At 36.2% G+C, this 24763-nt stretch overlaps 1 protein-coding gene and 1 long non-coding RNA gene across 20 annotated transcripts in view; one reads left to right on the top strand and one right to left on the bottom strand.

The window, feature by feature from the left end:
• Positions 1-24763, top strand: part of ZNF385B (zinc finger protein 385B) — a 419631-nt gene that overhangs the window by 189093 nt on the left and 205775 nt on the right. The window contains exon 1 of one of the 16 annotated variants that reach the window (NM_001352812.2): positions 12326-12443. The exons of the other annotated variants lie outside the window; for them this stretch is intronic. Coding sequence (NP_001339741.1) covers positions 12434-12443 — 10 coding nt within the window. The 5' untranslated portion in view covers positions 12326-12433. Of the gene's footprint in view, positions 1-12325; positions 12444-24763 lie in introns of those variants that run through there. 16 annotated transcript variants of the gene reach the window in all.
• Positions 12073-16721, bottom strand: LOC101927073 (uncharacterized). Of its 4 annotated transcripts, none has more exons than XR_007087323.1 (5): positions 16599-16721; positions 16152-16207; positions 15149-15189; positions 14383-14703; positions 12073-12334 (listed from the first exon to the last, which is right to left on the bottom strand). It is a non-coding gene; the product is annotated as an uncharacterized LOC101927073 (long non-coding RNA). The 4 variants fall into 4 exon arrangements; XR_007087324.1 differs by having other exon boundaries at positions 14383-14670; XR_007087326.1 differs by having other exon boundaries at positions 14383-14561.

The raw sequence follows: 24763 nt of genomic DNA, 5'->3' as shown, positions 1-24763 counted from the left end.
CTACCTCTCACTCCTCCCCTAAACCTCATGTCTTTCTTCCATACAAAATACATTCATCCCATCCCAAGAGAACCGAAAGTCTTGACTTGTTTCAGCATTGACTCAAAAGTCTAAAGTCCAAAGTCTCATCTAAATATTATCAAAATCAGATATGGGTGAGACTTAAGGTATGATTTATTCTGAGGCAAATTCCCCTTCAGCTGTGAGCCTCTGAAATCAAACAGGTTTTGTGCTTCTAAACTGTAGTGGTGGGGTAGGCACTGGACAAACATTCCTATTCCAAAAGAGAGAAATAGGAAAGAAGAAATAAGTGATAAATTCTGAGTGAGAACAAAATCTTAAGGCTCAAGAATAATCTTTGATTCAAAGCTCTGCCTTCCAGACCCACTGGAGCTGTGGTCCCACCTTCTGGACACATTGGGGCAGAGGTTGGATCTGCAGGATTCCAAGCAGCCCTGTCCACACTGCTTTGTAGGGCATAGCCCATGTCACAGCTCTCAAGAGTTTGAATTGGACACCTGCAGTTCTCTTGAGCTGGAATCTTACCCGGGTGTCTCTACCACCCCAGGGTATCAGGAGCAGCCATTTTGTCCCAGTTCTGCTAGGCCTTGCCCTAGTAGGGGCTCTGTGCAGTGGTGCTGTCCTGGTGACAGTTCTTTGCCTGGTTCCCACAGTCCTCCAGGGCATCCAAATCTAGGTGGAGGCAGCCACACCCCCACTGCTTTGCTGGCTGCAGTGCATGCTACATCTGGGGCAGCTGGGGAACATAGGATGGAGTTCAGAGAGTGGAGTGCAGGTGGCAGAGCCTTGAGACAGAGGGGCTGGGGGAACAGGGCTACAATGAAGTTTCATGTGTGCCTGTAGCCCCTTCGTTGAAATTGTACTACCTACCTCCCTTCTACTGTGTGCCTATGATGAGGGTGGCAGCCCTGATGATTTCTGAATTGCTTTTGGAGTCATTTGTTTTAGCATCTTGGACAATAATAGGTCCTGGATTTTGTTTAGACAGCTGACTCATCTTCTTGGATCATCATCATTTGGCCACACCCTTCGTGTTTTGTCTTGAATATGCTTTTCAATATAATAGGTTCTGAATTTCGCAAAGGTTTAAGTTCTGCTTCCCTTTTATTAATAATTCCATTTTTAAATTAGCTCTCTCTTCTCACATTTTACTAAAATCCCTCAAGAGGGACCAGATTGCATCCATGGTGCAGGCTAATCAGAAAAAGAGAATATTTTTGAGCTGAGCTGGAAATCACATGCAGGAATTCAGTATTTCAAGCGGGAGGAGCATAAGAAAAGCCAAAGACACTCTTGGAAGTTCTTATTGTGTTGAGGAACATTAAGCAGCTGACAGTCGCCAGAACCATCTCAAATAGACAAAGTTTTTATACTTGAAGGCACTTTGATACAATAGTGGTAGCTAATATTCACCAAGCATTTGCTGTGTGCCAGTCACTGTTGCAAGTGCTTCACATGTAGTATCTCATTTAATTCTTTCAACAATTCTGTGAGGTGGGTGCCATTATCATCACATTCCATAGATGGAGAAACTATAGATAAGTGACTTTTCCAAGGTCACAGAGTTACAGATGGGCAAGCTAGGAAAACTAAGTCCAGTTATTCTGACCCAGAGCCCACACTCTTAGCCTTTATCCTCCACTGCTCACAATGAAGGCTGGATTTGCTCTGGAGGATTTAATCAAAAGTTCTCATTTTTGAGAAATCTCAATTAATGAAGAAAATTTATCTCTTTAGACTGTATGTACCCCCTAAATTCACTCATTCTTGTTCAAATTATTTAATTAAATATTGTCCTTCTCCAAGAAAACTCCGTGATTAAACGGATGCCTTTTCAGTGGTATGTTGGACCAGCTCATGAGAACCAATCATTAGCTTTTCAGAACTTTTGCCAGTTATTAAATATAGCTGTTTTTAAAATAAATTATATAAATGTACATTAAATGAATTGTATTTCAAAGTGAGTAACAAATTTTCAAGACCTATTAGTTCCTATTTTTTTTTGTTTGTTTTTGTTTTTACGTTCTACTGCTATCCATGCTCTTGAGTTTTTCTTATGACTGTTACATCTGTATGGTGGAAGTACTAGAGAGTAGCATGCTACTGTACATCTCCTCCCAATTCCACACTCAATAATGTCATGCTGTTAGCTGTCAATTGGCAATGGTGAAAGTATTAGCACCATGATTTTTTTTTTTTTTTTTTTTGAGACGGAGTCTCGCTCTGTGGCCCAGGCGAGAGTGCAGTGGCGCAATCTCGGCCCACTGCAAGCTCCGCCTCCCGGGTTCACGCCATTCTCCTGCCTCAGCCTCCCGAGTAGCTGGGACTACAGGCGCCCGCCATCACGCCCGGCTAATTTTTTTGTATTTTTAGTAGAGACGGGGTTTCACCGTGTTAGCCAGGATGGTCTCGATCTCCTGACCTCGTGATCCGCCCGCCTCGGCCTCCCAAAGTGCTGGGATTACAAGCGTGAGCCACCGCGCCCGGCCAGCACCATGATTTTGTAAACACTGCTAATCAGGGATTTTCCCTCACCTCCAGAGAGCTGGTTGCTCAACATGTACCACCACACCACCACCATTATCTCTTCTTTAAAACATTTCACCTTAAGTTGATTCTCAGGAGGGCTCTGTATTATATAGAGGGTTTAACTTGTGAGACCTCTGGTGTCTAAACTGTATTAGTTCTTCAGTACCTAAAAGAAGTTTGGAAATGTTCATCAGTTTCTCATTAACATAATTATTTCAGAAAATTGAGAATCCATCTTAGCTTTAATAACCTCCAAAGAAACCCCATCCTTGTGTTTCATGATCACCAGTGAATGAAAGCTTCTTGGTTTAAGAAACTCAAATTCATTACTCCAGAGTAAAAATGTGTTTTTTCATTTTCCCCCTCAATTTGCTGAAGCTGGGAGCCACTATCATGTAGAGGAAAAAGTCAAGATACCTAGAGGCTGCTTCTGGCTAGGCCACTAAATAGCCAGGTGATCTGGGCTTAGTGGTCACTTTGCACTTTAGAATCATCTGGAGACTTAAAAAATATGCTGGGAATTTTAAATATGCTGATGACAGGCCCCACCTAAGCCCATTAAGTCTGAATCTTTGGGAGTTCGAGCCTATGTGTTGGTGTACTTTGAAATGCTCCTGAGATGGTTTTAATATGTAACCAATTTGAGAACTACTGTTCAAGATATTTACAGAGGATGGACAGTCTGTGATTAAAGGGTCCGGCTGCAGGGCCAGAACTCCTGCTTTCAAATCCCCACTCCTCAACTTCCCCTAGCTATGTAACCTTGGGTAAGTTACCTAGAGTCTCTGGGCTTCAGTTTCCTCATGTGTAAAATTAGAATAATCATAATATATTAGTTAATACAGATAGAACCTTTAAAGCATCTTCTGACACTCAAGTATTTTTTGACAGTAGTACAACTAAATATAAATATGCTCTCTTCATAGTTCTGTGTTGTCTCTATGCTTTGTAACATACAGCCATTTACATACTTGAAGCTGTACCTTGATATTCTTTTTACTATACTTTTTAAGCTTTCCTTTTGTTTTCTAGCCTTTTAATTATATCAATATTTCCCCTTTTAACTGCCCAAAATTCTTTATTTTCCTTTTAGTTGGAAAACCCCAGACAGGGTAAAGTGCTTCAGATGGCTCCAAGCCATTGCTGCACAATATCTACTGTATCATTTTAATAAATCTTTAGAATTAAAACTATGATTTGGCTAAAAATGATGTTTCCTTTACATCACAAAAAATTAAAATTGTCCCTTTTTTCCCCTAGCTTATGAGGTAGTAGCAATGAATTTTTGTAGACCCTCCTCTCAGCAGAAACTAATCAAATATAGAAAGTTAAAAAAAAAAAAAAAAAGAAAGGTGTTGGCTCCAGGAACTGTGTGATAAGATGAACTTGTAGAGCAAAACACTTTAACCAAATCTTTATGTGCAAACAAAAATAGAGAAAATGCACTGTTTCCATCCATTTAGCTTAAGGAGGGTTAATGACTAATGAAATAGAAATAAAGGAGGAACCCATCATGAATATACTATTTTAGGAGCAAAATTCACTGGAAGAAGTAGCTAAAAAGTAGTTTGATAAAGGAGAATATGAGGGCATGGCAAATCAAAAGGACAGACTACTGTATATTGTGGTCTCTTCAGATGCCTGTTTTTCAGCACCTTTGATAGAGAAAAGGGAAAAATTAAGGTAACTATATGAGTATTACCAACAAATATTTTGAGGTTAAAAAATGGAAAAGATTAATTCAGTACTATGGTCTTCTGTGACCCTCATAATTTTATATATAGAAGGTTGTAGAAATTATTAAATATCATGGTGTCATTAATATTAATGCATATTAACCAGTACTCCAAATTGACTTATGGATAGGATGATCCTTCAGAGACTTAAGAGGAATTGAGTACCATCACTTGTGATTAACTTTTGCTCTTTTCTTGTGGAGAAAACTAAGTCTAGATACGTGAAAAGTCATTTTCTCTTGATTAGGATTTGTTTGGTTGCAAGGAATAGACAGACTCAGGCCAACTTAAGGAGGAGGAGGTCTGTTTTGAGAATACAACAGTGAATCTCAAGAAATCTAAGGTCAGTGATTGTAGCTGGCTGGGACTTAAATACAACTGATGTCAGTTACCTGGAAAATCATAGGGAATCATCTTTTCCCTCAAGTCAGTGTATACCTCTCTTATGATATCTGGTCATCTCTGCACTGTATGTTGTATTCTCCTCTCTCTAGGGACCTTTCCTTCTTCCCTATAAACTCTGGCTTAAACATAGCTGCCAATGAAGCTGTTCAGAGCTTGGCACTTTCCAGCATTTACTCCACTGTTCCACATCTTCCCAGTTCCTGAGGGATGGATTAGCACATCGTTTTGAACCAGGCCACCAGTCACATTGTGTCTGATTAGCTGCCCCGAAATCAGTGACCCACACCTGGTCCAGTCAGCTATGGCTGGAATGGGATAGAGTCATGTGGTACAAAAAGGGGTTAGATTAGGTAGAAGAGGCTGGGGGCTGGCAAGCACTGGACACATTTCTTGTATTCTGCCTTAACTACAAAATGGTGGGGGGGAGGGAGACTAAGTTTTTTCCAGGTAAAAGTTGCAGCACATGCATAGTACATGATTTCTGCAGAATATTAGTGACAAAAACTCAGAAGTCTTCCTGGTTTACTACTGTGTTTCCAGACTGTTTTAAGCTCACTCGATACTATATGGCTATTCTCTAAATTATTTTGTTGCATTACTGAATGTTAATGTAGGTATTAAGATTGAGTTGGGGAAAAAAATCCACAGAAATAGCATATCAATATCTCTGAATTTCAGAATCTTTCCCTTTTGGTGGGGGGAAGAGGGCAGCAGAGATGAAAAACTAAAATTTTGCCAATTGTATTATGCCACCAAACCCAAAAAATGTTAATTAATATAAGAAATGTAATACATATTTTATTATGCAAGTTGTTAACTGAAAGACACATAAAGACCTGGGAGTTTTCATCTTAATATGGATAAATGTGATAATCTTCAAAAAATAACCATGATAAATGAATCTAGATAAAACAAAAAACAACAACAACAGCTACAGGTATTTTTGTCAGATGTTGGAGTCTGTTCATACATTTTGTAGATTAGCCCTTTTGGTGAGAGAAATATGTGAGCAAATGAAAAGAGCTCTGTGATCAGAATCAGGAAACATTAGTCTAACATAAGTTCCATGAGAGCAAGAGCTCCCGTAGCCTCAGCACTCAGAGCAGGGCCTGGCCCAGAATGGAAACTCAATAAAGATTAAAAGAATGAATAAATATTCTTATGATTATTTGACAAAAAAAAAAGATGATTTTCCTCTCTTGGTGTCAGTTTCTTCATTAATAAAATGAGATGGTTTTGGAGTCATTTTAAGAATTGAGATTCTATGATTATATAACATGTATTCAAAATTTTGAAACATCTGTTTGTTAAATCTTTTCTTAAAACTATATTCTCCATTTGAAAGCAAGTAATTCCCCTGAATGAAGCAATCCTTTATCTTTTCATTAGTAAGATGGTTTGGAATTTATATGTGTGAATTATCTTGGAAAACAGTATATTACTGATAAAAATATTTTATAGCTAATTTAACAATGTTAAATCACAGGAGGGGAAGCTATTGCCATATGCCTCTCAGACGATATTTCAGCAGTTTTGACTTCAGCTAACTCAACTCTTATAAAATACATGATTTTCAGTCTCATAGGCAAACATCTATTGTAACCAACTCTGGAAATAAAACAAAAACCTATGGTGATTTCCTTAATGAAATTTTTTTTAGATTTTATGTTAATAGGGAGCAAATCTTAAAATCTTTTTGGGCTTTCATCTCCCAACATTAGATGTATCTTAACATTTTTGTTTGCAAAATATCATCTCACTACAAAACTGTGCGACTTGTACAAAGTTTCATGGTCTTGTCCATCTCCCTCTGAATATATGCCATGGGCAAACTAGGAAAAACACATTCCTCCCAGCTGGCAATCACTCACATGGGATAAACAGTCAGAGCATTTTGCTGCCCTAGGCAAACTCTGCCTGAGAGGACCAGCTGGCTTTGCATAGAAATAAGCAAGGTAGAGTGGGTATACATTGAGCAGGTAGAGATTTTTTTTTAAATGAAAAGAAAAAAAAAAAAGATAGCACTTCTAATTTAACCCTGTTGAAAAACTTGACATATCTGAGCATCTATTTTAGGAAAACCTACATTGCGTTATTTGAACGTCTGCTATCCAGTGTAGGAAGGGAGCTGGTGCTCTGTCTGGTGGCATCACTGATGACATAATACAATTATTTTGATGTGTCCAGTTGTGCAAAGATGTGACTAGTTCGAACCATGTTGATTATACAGCGTGATGTTGTCATGGAAATCTGATGACACTGATAGAGAATAAATAGTTTAATGAGGGCCAGGTTATAAAGGTTTCTGGGGAGCCGCAGCTTCCAAACGTATAAATTATTGCCTTTGTCCAAGTTAAATGTCTGGGTAGAAATGGCATTGTCACCGTAGTGGTGAAAAAGATTTAGTGCCTTGAAAAAAATCATGCATGTAAGCCAGTCTCTGAGCTGGATTCTCGTCATCACCTCTCTGAAAGCTTCTGATGCTCATCTATATGGATGCAGAGATGCAGATACTACAGGTGAAAAGATTAAGTCACTGAGGAGTTGCGGGAATTGATCATTGTAGCTCACTATAAATATTGTATTATCATTATCCTCATTTCCTTTATGTTGTTTATTTCACACCACTTACTATACATTAGCATTGTGACAGTGATCAGTGTGAGCCTCCCGTGTGTCTTTAGTCCACGTGCTTGCACAGGCCTAGCACCTTACTCCTGTGGAACCAGAGGATCAGTACGGCCCAGAAGAAACCTGGGAATTTGTCTAGTTCTCAAGATTTACTTACTATAAAGTTTTTAAATGGGATTATTTAAATTAGCTAATTCTGAATCCAAGTTTTTATAAACTGTTTAAAATTTTTTTCATAGTCAAACACTTCCCACTATCATTTTTTAAATGAGGGTTTTTATAATTTAGTGCAAAAAAAGTAAAAACACAGAAAATGGTAAATAATAAACAAAAATCCTGCAATGTTAACAGATTTTGGAGTACTTCCTTCCAAATATGTTTCTGTAAATGTGCACAAACATTTACATCAATATATGATATGTATATTTTTACATAGTTGACTTCTATTATATATCCAGTTCTACATTATTTTCCCCACTTGTTACATAGTGTATGTACATTTTCTTATATCACTTAATATATTTTATAATATTTCATAATACAAGACACATCCAGTCTTCTGCTGTTGGACATTTAGGATGTGTCCATATGTTTGTGATTATACATAATGTAATGAACATTTTCACTCACACAACAATTTTTTTCTTTTTGTTCTTTATTTTTCTCTTCTGGATTTTCAGACTCAGAACTCATGTAACTCCCTCAATGTTCAATCTATTCAAATAAGTAGTAGCCTAGTTAATAGCAATTATCTGTATCTACAGAGAGCTGTACTTGTGAAAAATTGAAAAACTATTCGGCTACAATTTTTCCTCAGTTAAGCATAATTTCACCAGAAATAATATTAGTTAATGCCTTTAGATGGTCTTAAGTGAAGCCTAAGTATTAAAATGAATGCAATTGAACAATTTACACTTATTTTAGACAATAAATATGAAATATTAATGGATAATTCAAGAACTTAATATTTAGCATTATAGAAAAATGTGAAATATTGGTGTGGTTTAAACAATCTACTCTTAGATACTTTAGTTCTACTCTGAAGAGGGGAATAAAAGAAAAAAAAATCCCCTGAAGGAAAAAAAAAAAGCCAAAGAGAAACCAAAAGAACCACTTGCTTTTTTGAAAAAAAAAAAATATTTTTTACTTAAAACTATTTATAATTCCAAAAAATATGAAATTTTACATTCTCTGGAAATCATTACAGAAAAACTTTAGTTTAATTCTGCTGCCTCAATTCTCTGGATTTTACAAGGAGGAAGCTGGGTAGGACCACTGGATTTGAAGATTTGTGACCCTGGACAATTTGCTTGTGCTATCTTGGTCTCATTGGCTTAATCTGTACAATGACTGTATGAGAACTGAATGTAAAGTCCCCGGAAGGATGCCTGACGCATAGCTAGCACTTAGTTTCTTCTGTTCCTGCTTTTAAATGATAATGAGAGATTCTTTCATGAGATTTTTTTTTTTTTTTTTTTTTTTTTGAGACGGAGTCTCGCTCTGTCGCCCAGGCTGGATGGAATGCAGCGGCGCGATCTCGGCTCACTGCAAGCTCCGCCTCCCGAGTTCACGCCATTCTCCTACCTCAGCCTCCCGATTAGCTGGGACTACAGGCGCCCGCCACCACGCCCGTCTAATTTTTTGTATTTTTAGTAGAGACGGGTTTTCACCATGTTAGCCAGGATGGTCTCGATCTCCTGACCTCATGATCCGCCTGCCTCGGCCTCCCAAAGTGCTGGGATTACAGGCGTGAGCCACCGCGCCTAGCGTTCATGAGATAAATTTTTAAAATAATTGCTCTCCTTGATGAAAGACAGCAACTAAAACTGAGTGCTAGTAGGTGAATGGTTATCATTTTTCCATAAAATCATAAACCTGTAGACAACTTGAGGGATGACTGATAATACACTAAACATAAATGAAGAATTAAAATTCAGTTAAGCAATTCTGGTGTCCCTAAGGTACTCTGATATTTTTGTGTGTAGCTAATTGGTCAAAAAATAATGAAAACAATAACTTAAATATGTGTAGCAATTTATGGTTTCAAGTACCATCATATTTAGTTGGTTTGATCCTCACACCGTCAATATTACAGAAGTTCATGCAAGGTGAGTAATTGGCCTTAGGCAAAAACAACTAATTAATATTAAAGACAGAATTGAAAGATACCTTGTTATTTCTCTCTCAGTTAAGTCTTTTAACCATCAAGTAAGGAGAGAAGAGGAAAATCAAAACTAAAATGATAGAGTATCTAAAAGTTAATGGAAGGGAAAACTTCTTATTAAAACTGTGCTCCTCAATGATTTTTAGTATTTAATAAAAAACAAAAATTGAAAATAAATGAGCCATGTATGCATCATAAAAACTAGAAAAAGTTTATCAAAGTAAAAGAACTTGGAAGCAGACATTAATAAAGATAAAAAGCAAATATTAGTGGAATGGAAAACAGAAGAAATAAAAATAAAGCAAGTATTTTAAAAAGCAGCTGATTCTTTTGGGGGGGATTCACTTAAATAGACATCCATGGCCAACCTGATTAAGGAAGAATTAAGGAGAGTACAAATGGAAAACATCCCAGTTCCATCTAACCTTCCAAAAACAGATAATCCTACTGCTATTCAAACTTGTTAGAGAAAGAGCCGGATGCTCAGTTCTCCATTTCCTTTTATGAAATTAGCATATACTTAATATCAAGCGCCTGGTAAAGATGCTGTATTAGTTTGCTAAGGCTGTGGTAATAAAGTACCACAGACTGAATGCCTTAAACAACAGAAATGTATTGTTTCAAAGTTCTAGAGGCAAGAAGTACCCACTGCCCACCAAAAAAAAAAAAAAAAAATTACCCATAAACTATAACACAGACGTTTAAAAAAGCCCCTCTGGATCTGTTATTCACACCAGCCACTTATCTTTTTGATATTTCTATTCAGAAGGATTAGCAATTTCTTCTGCCTTCAGTTAGCTGCATTGCTGGGCCTGTGATAGGCAAACTTTTGTATATACCACAGCTTCCTCCACTTGTGGTTACCTTTCTCCTGTCCTTTCATGCAATGGATTGCTACTTTGCAAGACAATCTGAAACTGCTGTAATTCCTCCAATAATGAACATCTGCTTCACTAATAACAAATCTATATCCCACACCTGTTTATATGCTGGCTTAGTATTTAATGACTTTTATTATTAAAGCCAAATCACAGTGGTTTTTAAAAAGTGACTTTAATGCCAAATCATAGTACTTCTTTTTAAGTGTAAATTTTCAAAACCATTTTTAAATGGCAATTAAACTCAATACATGGTATATGACTCAAAAGTGATGTCATTTATGTGATTCAAAAATGATATCACTCAACTGAGGGAACAATATGAACAGCTATGACACAAGTTCATGCACACACTGATATTGACCACCACAGTCGTGAATACTTCCTTGTGGGTAGTTATTATAAGACGCAAATGATTATGGATGCACACTGATTTAGAGCTGTGAAAATGTGTTTGAAAAGTCTTAGATTCTAATTAATATGGCAATAAAACAATTTATAATGGATATTATCCTCATCCTAGATGTTAGGGTAACCTAATAAGGTAGAGCAATGGTTCTCAAAGTGTAGTCCCAGGACAAGTAATACCAGCATCACCTGGTATATTAGACAGGGTTCTCCAGAGATACAGAATCAATAAGATATAGATGTAGATATCAGATATAGATATATGAGGGGGATTAAGGGAATTGGCTCAACAATTATAGAGGCTGAGAAGTCTATGACAGGCTGTCTGCAAGCTGGAGACCCAGGATGCTAGTGGCATGGCTCAGTTCAAGTTCAAGGCCTCAGAACCAGGGAATATACATATATTTGATGTATCTATTGAATATGCAAGAGGCCTGAATTTCATAATGGCAAAAATAGGCCTTGGTCTCTTTTGTAATTGTCATCCTTAGCCATTTCTCTTTCTTTGTTCCCTTTGCTTTAAATTATCCTGTTTTCATAGTCCTTCCCCATTTTCCTTTTACCAACTTAGATTCATTTCCCTTTTACAGTTTTCTGAAACTTTCTTTCCCTCAGTTTTCCTATTTTTAACTTTTTAACCTTGCTTTAACCAAAATAAAAGTAACTAGTCATGTTAACATTGAATCTCCAAATTAAGGAATAGAGAAATATAGAAATATGAACAAGTACCGATAAAACTTCACTATTAGGACTCTGGGAAGCTAAACTGCTGTACTCTGTCATTATAACAAGTAAAAGATAGTATCTATTGGAGGATAATATAAAAACAATTGCTAAAATATGCTAATATTTGTGCATGTCATTTTATTTTCTATTTTAGAAAACATAGTCTCAGAAATCACATTCATCTCATTGGCTTTAGTGCTGGCTTGCATGCTATGTATTCTTCTTTTGGGCCCAGACAAATTTTCTTTTTTAAAAATTGTTAATACACATGCCTGTAACTGTAAGGCTTGTTCTTCTCTCAGGAGAAGCCTATTTCAGAAATAATTATCTTTGTATTGGAGTCAAACAAACAATCCATCATGAAACTGAAATATCATTGGAGGTTCAAGCTCATAGCACCGAATAATAAATATATCTGTATTTTCTTATCATTGGTGAGATAAGATGCATCATAAAAACTGGAAAAAGTTTATCAAAGTAAAAGAACTTGGAAGCAGACATTAATAAAGATAAGCAAATATTAGTGGAATGGAAAACAGAAGAAATAAAAATAAAGCAAGTATTTTAAAAATACTTTGTGAATTGAGTAGAAAATTTTACTTGGGAATTTTAAAGAAACAGCATGATCAATTCAGAATTTACATCTCAAACTCCAGTGAAGTAACTTACTTTTCCATAATTTTTGTTGGCTCTGTAGACTGAGGAGGCAACATCTACTGACAGTCACTGTATTGTTTGTTAGTTTCAAACGAAGTACACAGTGAGTGAGTGGAGTCAGGCCAGTACTCCAGCAGACTTAAGATACAAGGAGGAGTTTGTGAAGGCTCACACTCAATCTGCAATAAAACCGGTGGCAGGTTAATGTACCTCTCAGCTCCTGATACATTTATTATACAGAAATTATAGACCGGCTGACTTAACTATTGCTAAGAAACATGCTTCTTGGTAAGTAGCATAATTTACAAATGTTGATTTGTTTTAAAATGATAGGAGATATACATATTTGGCTTTTGTTGTAATTTTCCAGAGTTATACAGATTTCATACAGTGCTGGGCAATGTTGTGTTTAGTATTATTTGTCCTACTAGATTTTTAGGTGACAAGGTTTGGCAATTTAGAATAATCTTGGAAATGTGTATATAAGTTAAAGAAGCAGTCATGATCAGTATTTGACCTGTATTTTTTAGTTCCATTAAAATCAGCATAACATTTTTGGGTTTAATCAGTAGTTGTTAAAGACAATAGAGTCTTCATGATCTAAGTGTTAGCACAACTTCTTGTTTAAAATATTTTGGACGTCTATATGTTGTTAAATGCTCTGATACGTATTCTAAAAAGGACTGGTTCTATGTGATTATTATAATACTTAAGATAAATGGAAATCCCTAGATTGTCAGTTTTAAAATTAGTTTCAAGTAGTGGAACAATGAAAAGGTAAAATTTTAATATGCTGTATATTTTTAGTAATATTCATAATTGTATATTATACAATATAAAATATTTTTAAATATAACATTTGCATGCATTAGTCTTAATAGAAATCTGACAAACCTTTCAAAGAAGATGATATAGGAAGCTTTCTCATTTTATAAAAGAGCATAATAAGAATTTCATTGGAAAATATATAAATGTTTTAAAAATGCTTCATTGATAAAATGCTTCTTTTACTATCAAGTTAATATTGTAAAATACTAGTGAAATTTTAGGGCTTGGATTATTTATTTGGAAAACAAACATTTTCGTAAGAGAATCTATTGGTAAGTACACATTGAGTTGAGGAATTTTCCAGTTAATAAAGGCTAAACAGATATCTGAAATCTCCAGGAAATTTAGGTGAAAATATATTTTATTGCAGTGATTATACTTCGAACAGTTGTGAACACTACCTCATGTGTGAGAACAATTTCAGTCTTTATTTTGGAGGTATAAAGAATGTCACTATTTTGGCCAGGCATGGTGGCTCGCGCCTGCAATCCCAGCACTTGGAGAGGCTGAGGCAGGCGGATCACCTGAGGTCAGGAGTTCAAGACCAGCCTGGCCAACATGGTGAAGCCCCATCTCTACTAAAATACAAAAATTAGCTGGCTGTGGTGGTATGTGCCTGTAATCCCAGCTACTCAGGAGGCTGAAGCAAGAGAATCACTTGAAGCGGGGAGGCGAAAGTTGCGGTGAGCTGAGATTGCGCCACTGCACTCCAGCCTGGGAAACGAGTGAAACCCCATCTCAAAAAAAAATAAGAATGTAACTATTTTAAGGAATGTTTGATAACCTATTGGGGATATAGTAAACATAACTATATTAGTAGCTTAAATGATACTTTTACTTTTCAGTGTATTTAAGTAATTAACATATTAGGTCAATCTGCACAGAGAAAGTCTATAATTGATTATGTATTTGCAGTTCAAGTTTTGCCTTAATTTCAAGCCCACTATTCTACTTGGTAACAGTATTATAAGTAAAGAAGAGTACTAGTCTAGGAAATAGGAGACCCAGGTTTTCATCGTGGCTCCTCAAGACTGCTTCTAACCATTGGGTCATTTCCTGTATGAAATGATTTCTTAAAGTTTTACTCTATTTTTGCAAATCCACTTCTGCCTTCTTGGCTTCCATTATCCTGTGATATTGGCAACACTGTATACCTGTGTAAAATGCATTGGAGATTTTAAACAAGGACAGTCTTTTCACATGGAAACTCCCTTTAGGTCATAAGGTTCAGTGCCATTGGTGGGGAAATAAGTGATGTTGGTGATTTAGGAGAATGATCCCTGCCTCTGGAAAGAGCACCTACGCTTGTGTGAAGTGTTCACCATTTTGTTTATCATTTACCAAGGTCCTGAGACATGCTGTTTCATGACCTTCAAAGAAAATTCTGACCAATACCCACCTTGAAGATACATATTTTTTAAAAGGGATCCTGCAGTTGAATTCATCTATGCAGTAGCTTCTCACATGCAAAATCATAAAATATTTTCATATCATATCCATGACCTCTTCATTTGCCCAAGGTTTCCTCCCTTTGATTGAAAATTTAAGGTTTGCAGACTTGAGTTTTCCATCATTTCACTGTGGTGAGATGGCAAAGCATGAGCTTGAGATGATGGGAGTTCAAAACCCTTCTCCTCCACTTCCAAGTGGTTTCACGAAAACTACTTGTCCTTTCTGCACTCATTTTCTTTGTAAATAAGGATACCAATATTAAAGATTGCTGTAACGATTAAATAGGTAATATTTATAAAGTGTCAAGCATAATACTTTAACCAATAAATGGTAGACAATTATTGTTGTCTTACTAAATTATTTTATCAACTGTCTTATTAATTTATCAACTGTTTCTATTTGGATTCACAACACTTTCTAGGATTGCTGAAACTGTATGGGTTTTATAAAGTTATTTACGTCAATGTTCCAGTAAGATGAGTGAATTATTTTCCTGTGTGAATTTAGAATCAACCAGATCTAACTTTAAATTATAGTTGTGAGCTATAATTACTTCAATGGTTAAGACCATTTTGGCCTGGAGGAGTAAAAAGTTATATTTTGCAGTGCATGTGAAAGAAGTGTTTGTGAATTCATTTCTGCCTTCTATTCATATCTTAGTTAAAATGAGCCACGGTTTTGAGCAGTTTCTTTGGAACGTTACATAAACTTACTTATTCTTGGCCACATAGCAGTTGGGAACACGCAAACAGGCCTGAAAGGAACCAAACAGCAAATTCTTTACAAGCAGGAAACCTAATATTTACACAATAATAGGGTGATGGCCACTAAGGTGGCTTATGACTAAGTTTTCTTGTTCATCATGAATAGGAGCTAGCATCTTTTCTTCAAATACTTGTGTTAATATGTTCAACGGGACTGGACTGAAGTACAGTTGTGACGCAGGCATTTCAACACCAGAGGCTCTCCGCTCTTCCCCTTCCCTGCCCCAATACAGAGTGACCTCCCATTCTTCTCCTTTCCCTTATCAAACTGGCTTTCTGAGCTTCTATTTTACACCAGGATACAAATGGCTTGTTGTGGTTCATCAACGTTTTCTATATATTTGCATTTTAACACACTGAAAAACTTTAAGCTAAAAATCTAAAGCTCTAAGCCCATACAATTGTAAGCAATAAGAGTGACTTGAAAGGTTTTGGAGAAACATAGAGGTATAATATCTAAATCATACATATTCATTGCTCCCAAAGGGCAAAAAAATTATTCTAAGGAGCAAAAACTTATTCTTTTTATGTATGAGCACAGATATACATATGGTACATAGATATATGGTATATCTATAGTATTAAAATTTCTTGGGAGACAAGTATGAAAAAAATGTCTAAGAAGGTCCCTTAGGAGAGCAACAATGAATAAAAAGGTTGAGAAACACTGCTGTAGATGAGGGTATCAAAGCACTCTATGATCCTGCAGAGTACGAATTTTTGCTGAATTGTTTTTTAATGTTTTTAGTAGGAAGGAACTGATGCCTGATTTAGTACTTATATTTGACACCAGTATTTATGTTTTAATACATCAAATATGATTAGCTGCTGTGCCATTACCCTTTTTAGTTTTAGTAGGAAATAAAGAGGAAAGACTTGAGGACAAGATATACTTAAATTTGAATCCAGCTGTACCTCTTACTTGTTCTGTGACCCTTGGCAAATCACTTACCCTCTTTAAGCCTCAGTTTTCTTCTCTTTAGTTTACTTGGGAATCAAAATGCCTACCTGATGGAATTCCAATGTCATAAAGATTAATAAAAATAATATACATAAAACTTTCTGCAAATTGCCTACTGTATAATAAATACATGCCCATTAGTAGCTATAATTTTATTTGTTGCATCTTTTTACATCAATTACTGGTTTAAAACTTACTATAGAAAAAGAAATCTAGATTTAGCAGGTAAAGGTATTATCCATGAAGGGCAGAACTCCCTCTAAGACAAATGTTAATCTATTTGTAAAAATAAAAGATAAACTTCTAATATTTCTTTAAACCAGTAACCAAACCTATTAACATAAATAAAAAACAGAATAAAATCCAAATTAACATATCTAGACTAATATAATCTCTGTTAAATGTTGAATAATTGTCTGGGCTATTCTATTGAAATACCTTTTCTTTAAATACTACATTGCACTGAGCTGTAAAGTAATTGTTTTATTCCCCTAGAACCATGACTCAGTATTACTTGGAATTCCCATCTGTTTGTGACATCACTTTTGCCTCGAATGTTATTCCCTTACTGGGTAAACATATTTGCCTTTAGATTTCATGACATGTAATTGTAGGATAGATGAGTTAATTGAAAGGAAATAGTATTTCTTACGAGGATTCACATGGAGTTAGTCCAATTTAAGTATTAATGCAACTCTGTGGAAAATTTTGTTTCTTTAAAAGGAGGGTCCACAATTTACCCCACCTCTCTCTCTCTCTCCCTCTTTCTCTCTCTTCCTGTTTTTTTCCTCCAAGTACTTATTCTGCTTTTGTGATTTGCTCTTAAAACCCTAACCTATTAACATGTGTTCAGGGTTTTTTTTTTTTGCTTTCTTTTCTTTATAAGATTAATATTTAATACCTCTAGAGACAAAACTCCAATGGAGAAGGGAAGTGCTTCAGTTGTATGCATTGTTATGGCAAAATAGCATAAATGAGCAACTTTGATATGTATGATATATTTTCCATTGCCTTTTCAGCTTATCTTCTATTTTGGTAATTTATCTCCTCCACAATGTTTTCACTTTTCTGTACTACAGGTCATTAAGGATGAGTAACTGTAGAGTAGTATTCTCCATGCCAAAGTGTGGCTTTGTAATTCTTGACTTGACAACAGAAAATATAGGATTTTGAGAAGCAGGGTTAAGAGAATACTGTATGTAGGCAACACATTTATCCAGCAGAAGTAGCCCACAAGTAGTGGAATCCAAAAACTACCCATGATACAATTATTCAAAACCTTTCCTAGCTTTCCAGAGAGTTGAAACGGCAGAGTTTTCCAGGGTAGACAAACATCACATTTCAAAAGCATGTGAGAAATCAAAGAGCCTCATTTGGAATAAAATATATTGGCTCAGATTCTGTCTCCATATGCCTCAAAAATCATACTGCAAAAGGACTATGGAAGTTTTGACTTTAAAAAGCCATTAGGCTGCAAGTTGGGTTAAGAATACACGCATACTAAATGACATCCTGCAAGTTGGGTGCACTATAGGTAGTCTCTAATCCATGTAGCATTGTCTTAAGTTTACTTAATGCCATTTCAATGAAAGAATCTGAGTTTTTAAGACAGTAAGAGGCAAATGTTTTAGCAGATATTTGAAATAGAGCTCCTTTGAGAACCTCCCAGTGAAATAATTTCCCCAAACCTGGAAATCTAAAAGTGCCATCCCCAAGAGGTTAGAATGATGTTCACATACTTGAACTTGGAACTAAAGTATCATGAAGAATTAATATGGTATTCTTCATTCCTATTTATTTTAGTTAAGACAGGGAAAGTGACCTAATCAAGATGTCTTATCTAGGAATTTTTGAATTAAAATACAGTCTTCTTTCCAAACATTTATTCTGCTTCCCTCTGTTCCTACGTAGTAGGCTGGACAAGAGCCCTGGCCCATGTGACAGGCTCCTATCCTCCTGCACTCGAAGGGGGTAGGGGGATAGGAAATAGGAGACCTAAGTTTTCATCCTGGCTTCTCAAGACTCCTTCTAACCATTGGGTCACTTCTTTTATGAAACTTCTTAATGTTTTACTCTATTTTTGCAATTCCACTTCTGCCTTCTTGGCTTCCATGATCCTGTCATGTTGGAGACACGGTATACCTGTGTACAATACACAGGATATTTTAAACAAGGACAACCTTTTCACATGGGATCTCCCTTTAGGTTAAGATTCAGTGCCATTGGTGAGAAATAAGTGATGTTGGTGATTTAGGAGAATGATCCTAAATCCATCCGTTGATTCTGTTTGCACCTCTGTCACCAAATCCAAGGTCTTTCCTCCTGTGAAATATACTAAAAAATTAATTGAGGCAGACCCATAACCCTTCTCTATTAAAACTGTTTTTGTTTCTCCTTACCATTGTGCATCTCTATGTCTTTCTCTGGAAATATTTCAAAATAATTTGGAGAAACATTGTCAACTATTTTTCATTCCTTTAGAAAGATTAAAGTGGCCTTGGCTAGTGTGGGGAAGGCACTGGCTCGTCTGAGTTTGTTCGCTAGCTGGGGTATTGTTAAATGAGTGAACACTTGTCACTGCTGCTCGTTGTCCTTTTTTTCTCCTTTACAACTGTCTCAGGCCTTTTAGGGTACTTCAGTGTGGTAGAAGGAAATAGATGGCTTGATAATTGATTTGTTCCTGCTATATTGGTTCTATGTCTCTTATAAAGTAGCAGGACCTGATTCTATTGTATGTGGTATCAGTCAGAGTTTTGACTGAACACTGAAGGCATAAACAGCCAGATTTTCAATTAGAATTTAAGGACCTACTTACAGAGATGTGGACAGGTTTAGGGGAGTGAGTAGCTGATGTTAAGGTACTTATTAACCCGCCATAAGTCTCCCCATTCCTGAAAAGGAAGGGGAGGTAATGGAGTTGCCTAAGTTTATTAAGAGCTGAAACTGGAGGCTGTATAGAAACTACTCAACAAGAGCTGTTCTTCTAGAGAGAGGCCATTGCCAGAATGCAGGCACAGAAGGAACTCAAAAGAAATACCCTGACTTCTCTCTTCTTCTGTGCAGCAGTAGTGCACGGGGTCTAGTGAGGGAGATCTATTGGCTCCTGAAAGAAATGGTCCCAACTTGTCCTTTTGCATTTTGATATGCTTTTTGATGGTCTCCTGATGTTCTATGACATCAATCAGCTGGCATGTGTCACAGCCAGCCATGAACCTGTCTATAGCAGCACCAGCTCCTAGTTCTGAACTCAACTGTTTTCGTTCTTCTATGCATTTAGAACAGAGATAACCATTACTTTAGTCAATTACTTAAAAAATTTTTATTGAGCATATATTATGGGCTAAATACAATGTTAGGAAGGCCCCAAGGATATCAAAGTGAACGAAGCAGGAAAGAACCCTGTCCTTAAGCAGTTTACGTCTCAATTTTTTTTTCCCTGCCTAAACTAAGACTTTAAGAACTCAGAGACTCTTCTAGAAATCCTTAATCTTCTGATGATTTTTTTTTTTTTTTGGTGCTTTGCTCAATTCTAAACAATTGAGATGACCAAATCAATAGGTAAGGTATTTATTTATAGTACTCTATTATGTATCGTTGTCATTCATTCATTCAAAAAATTACTTCTGATCATCTACTATGGTTAGTATATGTAGAAATTGATAAATTAGTAAAATATCTTAGGGTTTAGGGTTCTGCTCATCTAGCTAAAAGCAGATATGCAAATAACTACAATGGCAAAGTGTCAAGAGCAAGGGACTAGCAAATGATTCCATTGTTTTGGATGAGGGTGACTGAGAGTTATGGTAATAACCATAACACCCAATTTCCTGGCTGCTCAGACGAGCAGTTTAAAGACTCACTGCTAGTAATGTGTGCTTTTATTTAATGGGAATCCCGTAAGTACTCACTTGTAAAAAGCAGGGTTTCCCAGAATCCATTGGCACAAACTGTTCAACTCCTTGACATACACACAGAACAATTCAGTCACAGTGTTAACACTGTTTGGGATAAACTATGTGACTGTGAATTAGGGAGGTCAGAAGAAAGTATGTTTTTAGACATCATTGGATGTATACTTTTTATTCGTCCTATAGCCTATACTTTAGAACCATACTCATTGAAACTGTGAAAAATGAAACCACATCATGAAAAAGTTTTCCTGATAATAGCATTATTTGTGTATCTTAACGGTAGCTATGGACTCTTTATAGCTACTTAGGAAATAGCTCTTGTCATGTTTCCAAATCTATATCTTAAAATGCTTTGTCTAGACAAGAGTTTGCTGATCCTCTGACATATTAAAAATGGAGCTCAGTTCTGTTTTTTAATCTGGGACTAAAAATTTTCTCTGGCAGTACAGTTTTGGCACACAATTTGGCTCTTTCTGTCTTCTCTAAATGACTTTTTGATTCTCTTTTCCGTTCCGTTGTTTTCTGGAGAAAAGGTGTCCCTGATAAAGATAAGGGAAATGAATCTTAGCCATTTTCCGTTAGGAGCACTATCTTCTTCAGGTTCACCACAACATCCACAGAGACTGGATTCATACCTTAGCTCTGACTTTGTTAACACCAGCTCATCATACAGATGGTTTAGTACTCAGACACCAAGGAGGTCTCTGCAAGGCAACATTCAGATTCTCCTCATCCACTTACAGATCCATATTTGGAGGTTCTCATAAAAATCAGTCTCGGGGACTGTCTTATTGGAATTTGGGGTTTTATTTTTAAAATATTTTTATTTGTAGTGAACGAGGTTGAGTGTTTATATACTGTAGAATGTACAGTCTATTCAAGTAACTGGGAAACAGTGTAAACTTATTTTTATATAGTATGTTGGTTATATTTTAAAATATTATGCGTGGTGTGTTTTCTTTTGTCTCCAGACAGCTTTTCCAGTGAAGGACCTTTAAATGTAAAGCCATTTGTCAAATTATTAATCTAAAAAAGTGAAACAAATATCTTATTTTTCCTGTTTCTGGACTTTTTGGACATTCTTAGTGTTTGTTGATCAACTTTCTTTTTCAGATGAACCATTGAATGAATGCACTGCTTTACGTTTATTGATCCCTCACCTGAAAATATATTATTGAACATTTTGTTTCAAAATATAGCATATACAGTATTGAAAAATAAGTGTATCCTGTGTCAGTTACCTAATTTGAAGGCAACTTGTGTGATTTTACCCTTTTGCCAGATTTTCCTTACGTGGTTAAAAAAAAAAATCTTGGGAGAAAACATGTATTCTGAAGACATTGAAGTCAGAATTATTTAAACAATTCTATGTCTGTCTCTTACATTATGCAGTTAAGGTAAGTCATGTCCTTTCTTCGAGTAATACCAGCGGCACAGGGGACTCAAAAGGCATTGTTTCCAAATGTTTGCCATTTTGATGCTAATGATAACTATTATGATATTTTACCTTAATAAATTCTTACATTGTAATAGGGTATGATTGTATCAATTGTCTAGTGGATTTAATGCGTCTTAACTGTCTGGTAAGGCAGGGAAAGGATTACCTATCAGTCAGCCAAGTCTTGTGCTGTGACACATTGAATCAAAGAAAATTCATAATGTTGTATAGATAAACACAAAAGACTTTTGTTTCTTGGTTTCTCACTGCCCTACCTTATTGATTTGCTTTTCTTCTACTTCTGATAAAGGCAATGAAATATCTATCCTGTATGGAATAGATGTGAGTTACTGATATAACCAAATGACTGCCAAAGGCACAGTGCCACTCTCCACATGACAGCTTGTTACAGGATTCATCTTTCAACAATAAAACCCTACAGCCTTTGCACTAAGCTCAAGCATGAAGGATATCATGTTATCCTTTCAGCATTTCATAGTATCTTTTACTTGGGCTTTTATTTGTCTCCAAGTATCCCTTATCTTGAATAATGTATGTCACTTTCTCTCATACATACCTATTTTTGTGATTTCCTCTGAATAAACCTTATTTATCAAGGAAACATTCTCCATGGACCAGTGTCCTGAACATGAAGCTTTGATATAATGGAACTAAATGTAAATTAGAATTTATTTCCTTTTCTCCTACTTCAAACACATGCATCCTTTCCCAAAATATGTATATATATACCAAATCTTTCCAGGTGAAATCTCTCACTCTACTTGTTTAGTGTTCTAGAATCTCCTAGAGAACTGTTTTGAGTGTAGTCTACATGTTACATACATGACAGTAAACACAGGTAGGTGCTTCAAAAATGTTGAAATCACACATTTGTGAACTGGCTATGTATATGAGGTACTGGCTTATGCATTTATTTAACCATATGTCATTATTGCCCGCCTTGTGCCAGGCTCTGTGCTGAGCACTGGGTCTCCAGGCATGACATTTCTTTTCTCTTAGCAAAGTGGACAGCAGGAAAAGGAAGGGTGCTAATACTGGGAAACGTAAACAGGTCTTATGATTAGAATTATGTTCTTAAAATGTATTTTGTACTGAATTTATTTTATTAAACTTAACATTACTTTTTTTTTCAAATTAAAGCAAAATGTAACATGGTAAAACTTAAGAATCTAGAAAGAAATGTAACAAAAAGCAAAACTTTCTTTTCTCTTCCCCAAACCTCCAATGCTTATTTCCCCAAATAAATTTTGCTAATGGATTTTGTGCTTTGTTTCAGAGTAAAACAAAATAAATCAAAACTAAAAACACACAACATGCAAACATATATACATGCACACAAATTGTATTATATGATATATTCTGCACCTTTATATTTTTACTTAGTACTATATCTGGTGTATCATCTTGTAGCCTTTTTCATAGTATGACATATTTACCCCATAAGATAATTTTAAAATTTTGAAACGATCTCAAAATTACAGAAAATCTGCAATATAGAACCAATAAGCTTTTTCTTTTCTAAGTGAGTTACCCTATCACCCTGGAGCGCTGTGGTATGGATTTTTTATAAGCAAGACAATCTCCTATACAACTACTAAAACAATCATCAAAATAGACATAGATACATCCTATACCCAATCCTCAGACCTCATTCAGGTTTTGGCATTTGCCCTAATATAGATAGATATAGAATCCATTTCAAAATCACTGATTATGTGTCATTGTCATGCCTATCCAGCCTTCTTTAGTCTGGAAAATTCCTCTGCATTTTGTTCTGTGGTGTTGTTGTTTTTTAATTTTCATGATCTTGACTCTTGAAAATTACTGCCCAGTTTGTGTTTCCTGCTGTTTCCTCTTGATTGACTTCAGGTTGTGTATCTTTGGTAGGAATATCATGAAAATGATGCTATATTCCTTTTACTATATCCTATCAGATCTCAGGTAATTTTAATTTCTCCCATTACTGATAATGTTCACTTTGGTCCCTTGTTAAAGCTCATATTTTCCAGGCTTTTCTACCATAATCTTTTCATCCTTTATAATTAATAAGCATTTTATGCAGAGGTATTTGAAACCTTATGAATATCTCATTCTTTGTCAAACTTTCCATTTACTCATTTATTTCTATCCATATGGATGATGGCTTCCTGTTTTATTCAATGAGTTATAACCCCTTACTATCATCAATTATTTTGATGTGCAAATTTTCCCAGATTGGGCCAGAGGGAGTTCCTTCAAGCTGCCTCCTGTGTCCTTTTGACTCAGGAGCCTTGTCATTTTTTGAGCACTTCCTTGCTATCTGTTCACAGTAAGACATTTCAGGCTCATTTTGTACTTTCCTTATCCCAGCCCTGATGTCAGCCTTTCTCTAAGAAGTCCTGGTTGTTTGTAATGGAGGGTAGTATTTGGAAACCAAGATTTGGGTGTTTTCGGGGGTGTTGCTGCTCTCAAACCTTCTTAGTGGCCAGTGCTCGGAGCAAACGTATATATGTGCATGCACATACACAAACATGTGCACATGTGCATCCATTTATATCTGTCAGTGTATGTTGAAAACCATGACTTTACACTGATACCTCCAATCTGACACCACAGAGTATACTCTTATTTTCTCCCTTTCCCTATTTATAACTTCTCCAAGATTGAGAAGCTGGTTCTCATTATCCTAATATATTTATGAAATTGATCAACACCCCTATGTAACCATCTCTCGTTGCCACTGCCACCTTTCCTTATTAGATGCCTCCTCATCCCAACTGGGCTCTGACACACCACATGGGGCTGCCAGCACCCTACTCTTCTACCCCCATGTGGAAGTCCTCTCTATTCCACCCATGCACCAATACCCCATGGCAAGCTGAGTCCCACCCCCTAGCATGGACATCCTCCTCACTCCACTCGGGTTGCCCCCATGTGTGGATACTTTCATTGTCCTCTGGAGGCCCTGACTCCCCATGCTGGGCACTGCTCTGCCACAGTCACCTTTCTCTGTTCTGTTCTGACCCCCCTTTTCTAAGTCCCCAAGGGTCCCCCACCCCCATGGTGAAGCAGACTATACCTTGCTCTGTTTCATCTAATAACTTTAGAAAGGAATTGCTCAAGAAAATTAAGGAGAGAGTGAATTCCTATAAGATCATTGTCTGCCAGTATTTTAATTTGAATAATGATAAAGGAGGAATAAAAAAAGTGGCTTAGACCACCTCATCTCTCTTTTCTGAGTCTCTTTCTCTCCC

Source organism: Homo sapiens, chromosome 2 (genome assembly GCF_000001405.40).
Source record: "Homo sapiens chromosome 2, GRCh38.p14 Primary Assembly".
In the NCBI taxonomy this organism is placed as follows: Eukaryota; Metazoa; Chordata; class Mammalia; order Primates; family Hominidae; genus Homo; species Homo sapiens.
Note: the sequence above shows the minus strand (reverse complement) of the source record. Positions and strands in the feature narration are given on the sequence as shown.